At 35.5% G+C, this 14,248-nt stretch overlaps 1 pseudogene; it reads left to right on the top strand.

Annotated features, from left to right (window-relative positions):
• The window catches only part of SLC9B1P1 (solute carrier family 9 member B1 pseudogene 1), a 45,306-nt pseudogene that overhangs the window by 29,542 nt on the left and 1,516 nt on the right, over nucleotides 1-14,248 (top strand).

The following is a 14,248-nucleotide window of genomic DNA, read 5'->3' as shown; positions in this document are numbered from 1 at the left end:
GGTCAGAAAAGATACTTGGTATGAGTTCAGTTCTCTTAAACTTTTAAAAACTTGTTTGTGGACTAGCATGCCGTCTATCCAGGAAAAGTCTTGGTATGTACTTGAGAAGAAAGCATATTTTGCTATTATTGGGTGAAGTGTTCTGTATATGTCAGACAGGTCCAATTGGTCTACAATGTTGTTCAAGTTCTGTGTTTTCCAGTTGATCTTCTGTCTGGTTATTGGATCCATAATTGAAAGTGGAATATTGAAGTTTTCTGTTATTATGATGTTGTTAGCTATGTTACCCCTCAATTCTGTCTATGTTAGCTTCATATATTTAGATGCTGTACTGTTAGTTGCATATACATTTATAATTGTTATATCTTCTTGGTCAATTGGCCCTTTTATTATTATGTAATATCCTTGTCTCTTGTGCTATTATTTGACTTAACTCTATTTTGTCTAAGTATGGCCATCCTTATTCTCTTTTGGTTAACAAATGCATTGAATATCTTTTTCCATCCTTCCACTTTCAACCTTTGTGTATGTTTAGATCTAACATAAGTCTCTTGCATATAGTATATATTTACATTTTTTAATCCATTCGGCAAATTCTCTGTCTTTTGATTGGAAAATTAGCCTATTTGCATTTAAATTAGTTACTGATAGGGAGGGGCTTACTATTGTCATTTTGTTCATTATTTTATACATGTCTTAAAGGTATTATTTTCCTCTTTGCCTCTCTTTCTGCCTCCCTTTGTTTCACTGATTTCTTTTTTTTGGTAGGGACGTGCTTTCGTTCCTTTCTCATTTTTATTTGTGTATCTTATGTAGGTCTTTTCTTTGTGGTTACTGTAGAATTACATAAAAACATCTTATAATTATAATAATCTATTTTAAATTGACAACAACTTAACTTTAATCACATACAAAAACTCTACTTCTTTACACCTCCTTCTCACTTTGTTATCAATGTCACACTATATATTTTATATTGTTTATTCACATAATTTAATACAGTAATATTATGCTTTTACCTTTTAAATTCTATGCTTCAATTAAAAGTGAATTACAGGCTGGGTGTGGTGTCTCACACCTGTAGTCCCAGCACTTTGAGAGGCCAAAATGGGAGGATCACTTGAGCCTAGGAGTTTGAGACCAGCAAGGCCTTATCTCTTCTAAAAATTTAAAAATATTATCTGAGTGTAGTGGTGCATGTCTGTAGTCCCAGCCACTCAGGAGGCTGAGGTGGGAGGATTGCTTTAGCCCAGGACTGCAAGGCTGCAGTGAGCCATGATCAAACCACTGCACTCCAGTCTGGGCAACAGAGCAAGACTTTGTCTCAAAAAAAAGTAAAGGAAAAAAAGTGTTTTGCTTACCACCATTAGAGTATTAAAGGATTCTATGTTCACTCATGTATTTACCTTTAGCAAAGAAGTTTATATTTTGTTTTCTTTTGTATTTCTATCCAATACCTTTTCACTTCCACTTGGAGGACTCTCTTTAACATTTTTTGTAAGGTAGGTCTAGTGGTGATCAACTCCCTCACCTTTTACTTCTCTGGGGAAATCTTTGTTTGTCCTTCATTTTTGAAGTAGAGTTTTACTGGCTATACAGTTCTTGGTTGATAGTTTTTTTTTTTCTTTCAGCCCTTTTAATATATCATCCCATTCTCTTCTGGCCTGTAGAGTTTTTGCTGAGAATTCCATTGATAACCATATGGCATCTCCCTTGTATGTGACAAGTTGCTTTGATCCTGTTCCTTTCAAAATTCTCTCTTTGTCTTTGACTTTTGACAGTTTGATTGTAATGTGTCTCATTGTAGGTCTTTTGCAAATTAGCCAACTTGGAGTTCTTTGAGCCTTTTGGATTTGTATGTCCACTTCCTTCCTTAAGTTTGAGAAGTTTTTGATCATTATTTTTTTAACTGGCTCTCTGCCCCTTTATTTTTCTCTTCTCCTTCTGGTACTTTCATAATGCATACACTGGTCTGCTTGATGGCATCCTGTAAGTCTCTTAGGCTGTCCTCACTCTTCACTCCTTTTCCCTTTTGCTCCTCTGACTCCATAATTTCAAATGACTAGTCTTCCATTTCACTGATTCTTTCTTCTGCTTGATGTTATTGAAACTGCCTTTGCAAAAATTGTAACTGAAGAAATTATGACAGCAAAAGACATCAGACTTAATCAACTCCATCTTGCCTCTAGCATTTAAACTGTCCTTGTTCATTCCTGGCAGTAGTATGAACTAATTTTGGGAAGGTATTCAGTTCATGGTTTGACTCTGAAACAAAGTTGATAATAGTCATTTCCCAAAAAGATACCCTTCTTGCCTGGAACCAGTCTGCCTTTGCAGGATAAACAAATTAGCTATAACATTATAAATTACAGTTGAGGGATTATGCAGCCTCTGGCTCTGAGTCTGATCCTCTCCAAATTGCTCCTGGGGATAAAATCACTATTGTAAAACCTAAAATCAGTGCTTGAGATATTTTGCAGACCCTGCACTGGATGAATCAGCTGGCACCACCTAGACTGGTAATATGGCTCAACTAGTTCTGCCACCCCACCCACAAACAGAAGACAGCAAGAAAACATCACTTCAACCCCGTATGATTTCATCTCCAACCTGATGAATAAGCAGTCCCCACTTCCCAAGCCCCGACCTGCCAAATTATCTTTAAAAGTTCTGATCCCCGAATGCTCAGGGAGACTGATTTGAGGAATAATAAAACTCTGATCTCCCGCACAGCCGGCTCTGCCTGAATTAGTCTTTCTCCACTGCAATTCCCCTGTCTTGATAAATCAGCTCTGTCTAAGCAGTGCACGAGGTGAACCCATTGGGCAGTTACACAGTCTAATGGTGATTTCTGATAGTGATTTTTTCAATTAAGCTATTGTATTCCTTAGCTCCAGAGTTTCTGTATGGTTCCTTTTTTTTTCAGTTTCTATATCTGTTAATATTTTCATTTTGTTCATGAATTATTTCCTGCTTTCACTTAGTTGTTTATTTCTGTTGTCACTGGGCTTCATTAAGATAGTTAATTTGGATTCTTTGTCAGGTAACTCATTTACCTATTTCTGTAGGGTTGGTTTCTGGAGATTTATTTTGCTCCTTTAATTTAGTCATCAGATTTCTCTGTTTCTTCTTATGTCTTGTTATTTTTTACTTTTTATTTATTTTTGCCAAGATTTGGGCGTTTGAAAAAACTGCCACTTCTCCCAGTTTTTATCAGCTGGCTTCACACGGAAGACCTTCATACCTGAATCAGCATGGCTATAGGTTCCAGCAGCCTCTCAAACTTTTTCTGAGAATGCATCTTCTTTGGGTTTATACATTGTAACATCCCAAGTAGAGGTTTGCCAGTTTCTTTTTCTAGAGCTGTTGCTCCCTTTGGTATCTGTCTGTGGTACTGCAGGTTCCCTGGTGCTGCATCATCTCTGACTTCTCCTTTATTCCCAGTGGCTCCCATGCATCCAAATTATGCCCGTTGGGCGTCAAGTTAGAGAGAGAGAGAGAGTTTCAGGTAACCTCATAAAACTATTCCGTTCCAGTCTTCTCTTTCCCTGCTAACGGAGAAGCTGCAAGTTGAGTGCTTCCCAGCCAAACCAACCTGCTCGAGCTTGGGGAAGGGGTATCATGAGTATAATGCAACAGCTTTTCTTATTTGTTCAATGCCACTATTCTTGGCTTAGCACTTGTCTGTGCTACTACAACTTCTTAATGGTTTATGTAGCTCCATAAAGGCTTTTAGACCATATATTGTTTTTCAGTTGGTATCTTTATGGAGAATCAAGGTTTGGAGCTTCCCATTCCACCATCTGGCTGACAACACTCTGTTTATATTATTTTTTATTTTTATTATATTTTATTTTCTTGAGACAGGATCTTGCTCTGTCAGCCAGGCTAGAGGGCAGCCTCGAACTCCTGAGCTCAAGGGACCTCCTCCCTCAGGCTACTGAGTACTTGGACAATAGGCACACACCACATACCGGGCTAATTTCTTATTTTCTTGTGAAGATGGGGTTTCACTCTGTTGTCCAAGTTGGTCTCAACTCTTGGGCTCAAGCAATCCTTCTGCCTTGGCCTCCCAAAGTGCTAGGATTAAAGGTGTGAGCCCACCATGTGCTGCCTGTTATATTTAATAGAAAATATATCTAAAAATATACTTACGTACTATATTGAATCCACTACCCAGAGCTTAACTGAACTATTTTTGTGACTCATTCTGTTTTTTTATTTTTTGTTTTTTACTTATTACAATGAACTACAAGTATGGATATATTAATATTAATTAATATAAAATATACTTGAATCTTTTGTATATTTTTTTCCTTTTTTCTTCACCAAAAGCAGAAACTTAAATGTACTGAAATCTTAAATGACCCTTGAATGTTTCTAGGACTGACCCTGGAACAAAATTTTTTATGTGGTTATTACATTGTTCTTTTCATGTTAAAATCATTTGTTTCTTTTTCATATAGTACATCAAAGAAGAATTGTTAATATAGCCCTTTCCAGCCATATGCTAAGTGCCACAAGAGTTTCGGTCTCTTTCCATTCTTGTACCCCAGTTGGTCTTTTTTTTTTCTTTTGGAGGTGTAGACTCCATCTTTCACCCAGGCTGGAGTGTAGTGGCACGATCTCAGCTCACTGCAACCTCTGTCTCCCGGGTTCAAGTGATTCTCCTCCCTCAGCCTCCTGAGTACCTGGGATCACAGTTGTGTGCCACCATGCCCACCTAATTTTTGTTTTTTAGTAGCGATGGGGTTTAATTATGTTGGCCAGGCTGGTCTTGAACTCCTGACCTCAAGTAATCCACCCTCCTCAGCCTCCCAAAGCGCTGGGATTACAGACATGAGCCACTGCGCCCAGACTACCTCACTCTGTCTTTTAAATTGGCTATATAAGGGGAGCATCTTGTGCTTGTTAAGTCTTTGTTTTCTGGCCTATTTATATAATGGACATTTCTGAGTTGTGTGTATATATTAAATTATTTGAGCATATATATTTAATGTACTAAATAGATCTACGTGTTTTCATACATGTCACTATAAAAAGACCATTTGCATATATTTGTTCTATAAAATGCTTACTTTTCTTCATGAACCACCTAGATTTGCTTTTCTGATGTGTAGTGTATGTGAAAATATTTCTTTGTGAATTTTTTTATTGTGTGCCCCTACAGGTGGTATGATTAATAACGCCATAGCCTCTCTAAGGAACGTATGTATTAGTCTGCTGGCCGGAATTGTTTTGGGATTTTTTGTTCGATATTTTCCAAGTGAAGACCAGGTAAATACAAAATCTATTTTATAGAAGTATAGTATTAGACATTTTTTCCAAAATATTAAACTTTGGTAAGATCCATGAAATTTAATACTTAACTCTATTTTTCTAAAACTAGCCTCCAATGCCTACTCTGTATTTAAAACTGAGCACAGCAGTGATTGATACAGGACAATGGCTTTGATTAAAGTCTCTGCTTCCTGATTTGGCAAATAAGGAATGTCAAAAAATATACTTAATGCAGAGTATCTCTCTGAATTATACTTTCCCTTTCTCTACTAAATTGCCTATTGATGTTTGATAATTTCCCCCAAATTTTCCGTTAAACATTTTAGGGGGAGATAGGTTCCCATTTATTTATGCATATTTTCTGACTGAAATTCACTCCAGCTATCCTTTGACAAAGGCAGCTCTCAAACTTAGCCATTTCCTGCCTTAAAGGAAAACATGTCATTACTTTCATATTTCTGTAATTTCCATCCAAATTTAGTTGCAACATACTGACCAAAGAGATATTCAAATATTTTTTAAGAATTCATTGGATATGTTATATGAAACTGGAGATTTTATGGGTCTCTTTTCTTCTTCACTTAAAGTAATACTTTAACCATTTTACTGATACTAGTATCAGAGATGTGGCAGAAGGTAAAACGTTATTAATTGGAAATTTTGTTACTTGGTAGTAAGTCTGCTAAAATGTATGGTGAGAAAGAAAATCAAAATTTTAGAGATTTAGTATAACATTTAAAGACATAATGTCAAAGGGTCAAACATATGTAGTAGATAATGTCAAATCTTGTATTATATATTTAATATAAACTAATTTCTAAATATCTATCTAATTCTAGAAAAAAATTACATTGAAGAGAGGATTCCTTGTTTTGATTACGTTTGTTTCTGCTGTCTTAGGCAGCCAACCTATTGGTTTACATGGATCTGGAGGATTATGCACACTAGTGTTGCATTTCATTGAATGGACAAAATGGTCCCAAGAAAAGGTGAATATTTTTAATATGCTATATTTTAAAAGCTAAGACAACTGAATTTTTTGCATATATTTAGGAAATCCCCTCATTCTGGTTGTAAAATATTCCAAAGGTTTGCTACCCTCAAGAAAGTGTATGAATCAATCGAGGAAATAAAATATTTAGGAAAAGCAGCTGGAAGAATACTAATATGGAATCAGAAGTTGAATTAATCACATCAGGCTTCTCTTTTTCCCAAGTTTTATATAATATTATTATATTACTTATATCAATCTAATTATTTTATTCATTGAAATTTTAATTATACAATTAATCCATGAAGAATGTTTGTAAAAGGCCAGGTATGGTGGCTCATGCCTGTAATCCCAGAAATTTGGGAGGTCGAGGTGGACAGATCACCTGGGGTCAGGATTTTGAGACCAGTCTGGCCAACATGTTGAAAACTCATCTCTACTAAAAATACAAAAATTAGCTGGGCATGGTGGCATGGTGGTGGGAACCTGTAATTCCAGCTACTCAGGAGTCTGAGGCAGGAGCATTGCTTGAACCCAGGAGGTGGAGGCTGCAGTGAGCCGAGATCATGCCATTGCACTCCAGCCTGGGCAACAAGTGCAAAACTCCATCACACACACAAAAAATAATAATAAACAAATAAATAATAAAAATAGAAATGCTTGTAAAAGAATAAAGCATATAGAATAAAATGTAAAAGATTTCTTTATTCTCCACCACTGTCAAATATCTAACCCCCTTACATTTTTTAAGTAACCAGTATTCTATTTATAGACATTTAGATCGTTTCCACTTTTTGTTATTTATAAACAGTGCTGTCATAAACAGTGTTGCTCATGAAGTGATTCTTCTATTCCAGCCTCCCTAGTAGCTGGGATTACAGGCGTGCACCACCAGGCCCAGCAAATTTTTGTATTTTTAGGAGAGACGGGGTTTCACCATGTTGGCCAGGCAGGTCTTGAACTCCTGACCTCAGGTGATACTGCTGCCTCGGCCTCCCAAAGTGTTGGGATTACAGGTACATCTGTAGGAATAGAGTCCCAGAAATGATTTTTTTTTTTTGAGACAGAGTCTCTGTCTATGTTGCCCAGGCTGGTCTCAAAATCCTGAGCTCAAGGGATCCTCCCAACTTGACATTGCAAAGTGCTAGGATTATAAGCATGAGCTACCACACCTGGCTGGAAATGATCTGTGTTTTATTTTGATGGACACTGCTAAATTATCCCTTCAAAAATTTTGGTTATTTACACTCTGTCAACAGTGCACAAAAATATCTAATACTTTAACTCATCAACAGCACTTGGTATTGTCACTAGTTCTATTCTTTTTACTATTAAATGACCTCACCATCCAATTCTTATAGTTTCTTACAATTATGTGATGTTGTTATTCTTTATTTACATTTCTCTGATTAGTAGTATAGTAAGCTTCTCTTCATATATTCTTTTTAAATGATCTTCTTTGACCGTTTTTATTGGGTTATTTATTTTTTTGTTTCTAATTTATAGTTTCTCTTAGTGTTAGTGCTACTGATCCTTTGTTATGTATATATTGCATATAATTTTTGCTTATCTTCAACTTTGTTTATGGTTTCTGATGTATGAAAGTAAAATTTCCTATGACCAAACCTATTGGGTTTTCCTTTTTTTGTTTTGGATTCTGCATTTCATTTAAGAAGGACTTTCTCACTGAAGATTATAACATATAAACATTACAAATATATACTATTTTGTGTATTATCATTTAATATTTTGGTAGTTTTGGTTTGTTTAATTTGTTTTTTCATTTAGTCTTTTAATCTATCTGGAATTTATCTTTGTGAATGCTGTGAGGTAAGGTTATACATATATACATATGTGTATCTTACAAACTATATATATATACATACACACACACATACATTTTGTGAGGTAAAGTTATACATATATACATATGTGTATATTACAAACTATATATATATACACACACACACACATACATTTTGTAAGTTAACTGAACAGAGATAGAACTACATCATGCCTGATGTGTGTGTATATATATATATATACACACACATAAATATATATACATATTCAGACACACATATATATTTGCATGTGATGAATATGTACATACAGATATATGCACATAAACTAGACAGTCATTTTTTGCCAAATTGTTTATTTATTGACCAATTCATTAATAATTCAGTTTTTTAACATGAACTAAATTCTCCCATATATATTAATTCTGAAGTCTATTTAATCCTACTTCTCTATTTCTGTGCCAACACTACTGTTTTACATCACTGCAGTTTTATGTGTCAAAATCTAATATAGATTATACTTCTTTTTAAAGTATTTTTTGGCTGTTCCTACATACATTCTTTCTTAGATAAATTTTAGAATCAGCTTGAGAAGTTCCCTAATCAAAAATCATAGTGGCATTTTTCTTAGTATTCTTATATAATCATAATTATAAAAGAAATGAAATGAATGAAATGCAAATCAATAAATAAAATTAAAACTGCTAGAATTTTTTTAAATGGTAAAAGAAACAGAACTAAAACAAGTTTTAAAGATTAAAAGTAACAAATAGGATAATTATGCTGTAAAGAGTAGTAACATCGTTTTTCTTTGTTTTTCTTTTTTTAAACTATAATAAGTGGGGATCAGAAAACACAGTCATAAGGGAAATAGTTATGAAGATAGTTTATGCCTCAAGGAAGAGGCATCAAAGTTCTTATGTATCTTCTGTTTTAAAAAAAATTAAACCCAGACTGAGACTGAAATCTCTTCATCCAAATTCCTGGAGAAGAGCCAGAGTAATGTAGGCCAATAGGGGCCTTTCCTGTAACCTTTTAATTGGGAAAGTGGCACTGGGAGACATTCTTTTCCAGAAAGGGAAGCTGGGTAGGCAGCTAAATGAGAATCTAATATATGTTTTGGTTTTGTTTTAAGGAAAAAGTAACTCTAAAGTACTCAACATGGGTTCTTTGGAAGCAGGCCTAGCAGACTTCCAAATTGTTTTTCTTAGTAGCATATGCTATATATATCAGGATTCACTTTAATAGGATTGAGTTCCAGGATGGTTGTTAGTGGAAGGCTTCCCAATCCCCTTCTGAGAACCCAAATGTTTGCATGAACTGGGTATGTTCTCATCAGGCATGACGTAGTTCTATCTTTGTTCAGTTAACTTAGAGACAAAATCTGGAACTCATACGAAACATGGCTAGAACCCTAAGGACATCACTTATTCTGTGACAAAATGGCCAAATAGTATTATTTTATTGCTTTGTGCATTTCTTTTATTCAAATTCTACCTAAGTGTTTGAGTAAAACTATTGAAGTGCTCAGTTTTTATTAATTAAGTTTAACATTTTTATTAAAATAAAGTGTCTTAAATTTATTAAATGTTAAGTGACTTTAGGCCAGGCATGGTGGCTCATGTCCATAATGCCAGTGCTTTGGGAGGCCACAGCCAGAGACCACTTGAAGATAGGAGTTCTAGACCATCCTGGGCAATATAGCGAGGCCCCATCTAGATAAACAATTTAAAAATTAGCCCAGCATGGTGGTACACACCTGTAGTTCTACTTCGGAGACTGTGAGAGGATCATTTGAGCCCAGGAGTTCAAGGCTACAGTGAGCTATGATTATGACACTACACTCCAGCCTGGGCAACAGAGCAAGACCCCATCTCTAAAATACTTAAAAAGTGAAAAAAAAAAGGTGAGGGAGACTTTAACTTTCTGAAATATATTTATGTGCCAAAATAATTAAAAATGTTTTTCTCTTTTCTATAGATGAAAGTCCAAAAGATTATTACAAATGTATGGGATATTTTTCAACCACTTCTTTTTGGTTTAGTTGGAGCAGAAGTATCTGTTTCATTGCTTGAATCAAATATTGTTGGTAAGAATAATTAGAGCACAAAAAATATGAAATTCAAAAATATTTAAAAAGTTATAAATACATTTATTTTTATTTACAATATATCTTTGAATGGCTACAAGGACCTTCTTCAGAAACACATGTTGATACAGTGTCATATTTTCATATTGCTCTTCCTTTACACTGTGTGCTCTTTTTTTTTAAACCAAGGACAGCCTTGAATATCTTCCCTGAGTTATCTAAGGAAATAAATATAAGATTTCTTTTCTGAGGGAGCATATTTGATACGATCAGCACTTTTTGAATACTTTCATTGAAAACTATTGGCTGGGTGTGGTGGCTCATGCCTGTAATCTTAGCACTTTGGGAGGCCGAAGCGGGCAGATTTCTTGAAGTTATGAATTCAAGACCTGCCTGGCTAACATGGGGAACCCCATCTCTCCTAGAAATACAAAAATTAGCCAGGTGTGGTAGTGTACGCCTGTAATCCCAGCTACTCAGGAGGCTGAGGCAGGAGAATCACGTGAACCCGGGAGTCGGAAGTTGCAGTGAGCTGAGATTGTACCACTGCACTCCAGCCTGGGCGACAGAGCAAGAATCCTTCTCAAAAAGTAAATTATTATTAATAATAATAAAAGTATTCAAAAAAAGTCTATTAGTTCAGAATTGTATAAATGTCATCTGCCTTATTTTTCATGGTACCTCCACCATCAGATACTGTCTTGCACTTTACAGAGAATCCTCCATCATATTCATTTTTTATTATCATTGTTTTATGTAAAAATTAAACACATGAAGAGAAAAAAGCCTTAAAATGCTTTCAAAAGTCTTAGAAATCATATTCCTGGGCATAAAGAACATTTCTTCACAAATATTTTGTTATTTATGTTTGTTTTCATCTGTTGTAGGCATATCTGTTTCCACTCTGAGTTTGGCATTATGTGTTCGAATTTTAAACATATATCTATTGATGTGCTTTGCTGGTTTTAGTTTTAAGGAGAAAATATTTATTGCTTTAGCATGGATGCCCAAAGCTACAGTACAGGTAAGAACATATTAAGCCTATTGCTTAATGCTTTCATTTTGATGCTTTTAAAATTTAAAATGAAAAATGTTACTCCAATCACAAAATATGAGCTATTATCCTTATTTTTAAATGTTTGATTGATCATAACTATTCATTAAAATTAACGTAACCAGTCCCAGTTACTCAGGAGGCTGAGATGGGAGAATCGTTTGAACCCAAGAGGCGGAGGTTGCAGTAAGCTGAGATGGCACAACTGTACTCCAGTCTGGGCGACAGAGCAAGACTCAATCTCAAATAAATAAATAAATAAATAAACAGAAACAAACAAAGAAACTCAATGTAAACTTTTTCTATTTTTATTTTTATTTTCATTTTGAGACCAGGTCTCACTCTGTCACCCAAACTGGAGTGCAGTGGCACGATCACGGCTCACTGCAGCCTCAACCTCCTGGGTTCAAACAATCCTCTCACATCAGCCTCCTGAGTAGCTAGGATCACAGTCACCTGCCACCACACCCAACTGCTTTTTTTCAGATTTTTTTTTTTTTTTTGAGACAGTCTTACTCTGTTGCCCAGGCTGGAGTGCAGTGGCATGATCTCAGCTCAATGCAACCTCCACCTCCCAGGTTCAAGCGATTCTCCTGCCTCAGCCTCCTCAGTAGCTGGGATTACAGTTGCACACCACCACACCCAGCTAATTTTTGTATTTTTAGTAGATATGGGGTCTCACCATGTTGGCCAGTCTAGTCTCAAACTCCTGACCTCAAGTGATCCACCCGCCACAGCCTCCCAAAATGCTGGGATTACAGGCATGAGCCACTGTGTCTGGCCTTTTCTTTCTGATTTTTTTTTTTAAAGAGGAGGTCTTGCTATGTTTCCCAGGCTGATCTTGAGCTCCTAGGTTCAAGTGATCTTCCTGCCTCAGCCTCCTAAAGTTCTGGGATTACAAGCATAACCCACTGGGCCTAGCCAACATAACATTTGAAATCTCAGTTTTAAAAGCAACCCCTATTTGAAATCAAAAGGTATTGTTTCAATAAGTACTTCCTAAGTTTATGAAAATATGTTTTTTATTTTCCTAAAATACATAATAAGAATATATCTGAAAATTAGAGTTTTTATATGTTGCTGAATATAACAAAGCTGAATGTTATGATTTTAAAAAGTAGAGACACAGACCAGGCATGGTGGCTCATGCCTGTAATCCTAGCACTTCTGGAGGCTGAGGCAGGCAGATCACTTGAGCTCAGGAGTTCAAGACCAGCCTGGGCAACATGGTAAAACCCCCGTCTCTACAAAAAATACAAAAAAATTAGTCAGGTGTGGTGGCACGCACCTGTAGTCACAGCTACTTGGGGGCTGAGGCAGGAGGATTGCTTGAACTCAGGAGGTTGAGGCTGCAGTGAGCTGAGGTCATGCCACTTCACTCCAGCTTGGGTGACAAAGTGAGATCCTGTCGCAAAAAAAAAAGTAAAGTAAAATGGAGACACATTGATTTTTTAAAAAATACTTTTCCTACCTTGCCACTCACTCCATCACACAAATGCACATATATTTTTAATTACACATTTATTTGTATACTATTTGGTTAATGGCTAAACCCCTGCCCCCGCCCCCTTGATAGACTACTTAAGGACAGGGACAGTGTCTGGTAGTTGCAGTTGTTTTTCATTATTTCTCCCTGGCACTTAACACAGTGCCTGACATGCAGGAGGCAAATACGTATTGCATGCCTACAAGTATGAATGAACGGAAAGGGAAACCTTGTAATTTTGCCCTGTTATTCAAGGATATTCTCCTCCTACTAAAATATATGGCTACTTCTTGTTAGACTGTTTAACTTGGCAACATAATATACCTTAATTTCCTGTGGCTGTTTTCTTAGTTGTTATTCTAAAACAGAAGCTCCTAAATTTTCATGCAAAAAAACCTCTATTATCATGTTAGAAAAGCAGGTTCATAGAGCCAGACTACCTGTTTCAAATACCATGTTACTTGCCTATAACCTCAGGAAAATTATTTTCTAGTTTATCAGTTCTTCAGTGTTCTCATCTTACAATGAAGTCTATGACTGTATCTGTTTCTTAGCAGTGTTGTCAGGACTCAATGAGATAATCTACGTAAAGTGCTTAGCACTCTCTCTGGCATATGGTGGTGCTCAGTTAGCAAACAATGTTGTTATTTTATCTTACCTCCAAGTAATATAAATAACTTTTATTTTTAATGTCTACTGTAGGGAATAATAAATCTACAAAAGGAGTATCTGTTCTCTCTCCTTCCAACAATACTCTTGCAATTTTGTTTCATTATTTCATAATTTTCATAAAGCAGGGAAAAAAGAAAAGCAGGTATGAGGAAAGAGACCACTCACTTGAGTCCTGCAGTATTATTCTGCTTCTGCCTATTCCTGTCTGCTGGCTCCAGGCTAGCTTCTACACAAAGAATATCAAGCTGGTCCCAGAAACTGGCAAGACATAAAAAATTAATTATTTATACAAGTAGAGTCACAACAGCAATAATAGATAACAATAATGTCATGAGTAAATACAATCAACAAATATTTAAATTTCAATTTTAAATTATTTTCACCTTTATCCTCTTCTGCCATTCTCTGCTGCTAAAATAAAATTGGCTAAGATTCAGCTTTCTCTTGTTCCTCAGTTTTGAGTTACTGATAAAAATTGGACTGGAAAAATAGAAGCTATTAGGAGATTAAATAAATAATTTAGTTTACAAATGTAAGATCAGCTTGGTAATTGGATTTTTTTGAAGAAATAATATTAAATCTCAGTCACTAGGAGGAAATCATTTATCATCTAATAAAAGTCCTCACATAATAAGGTTGTCATAAGAATTAAATGAATTGATAAATGGAAAGCTTTAAGAATGATACCTGACATATGATGAATGCCATATAACTATAAAAATATTATTTCTAGTTTCACCATTATCGTCATCATCTCTTAAAAGTCAATGGGTTTGGTTTTTGTTTTTGTTTTTTTCTGTTGGCAGTTCTTTTATGTTCAAATCCTCTTCTAAACTGTAAGATTCTTTCAAGGTGGTTTTCTGCATGATTATTT

This window comes from Homo sapiens, chromosome Y, assembly GCF_000001405.40.
Source record: "Homo sapiens chromosome Y, GRCh38.p14 Primary Assembly".
NCBI classification, from domain to species: Eukaryota; Metazoa; Chordata; class Mammalia; order Primates; family Hominidae; genus Homo; species Homo sapiens.
The sequence above is the reverse complement of the archived record's forward strand: the minus strand, read 5'-3'. Positions and strand labels throughout refer to the sequence as shown.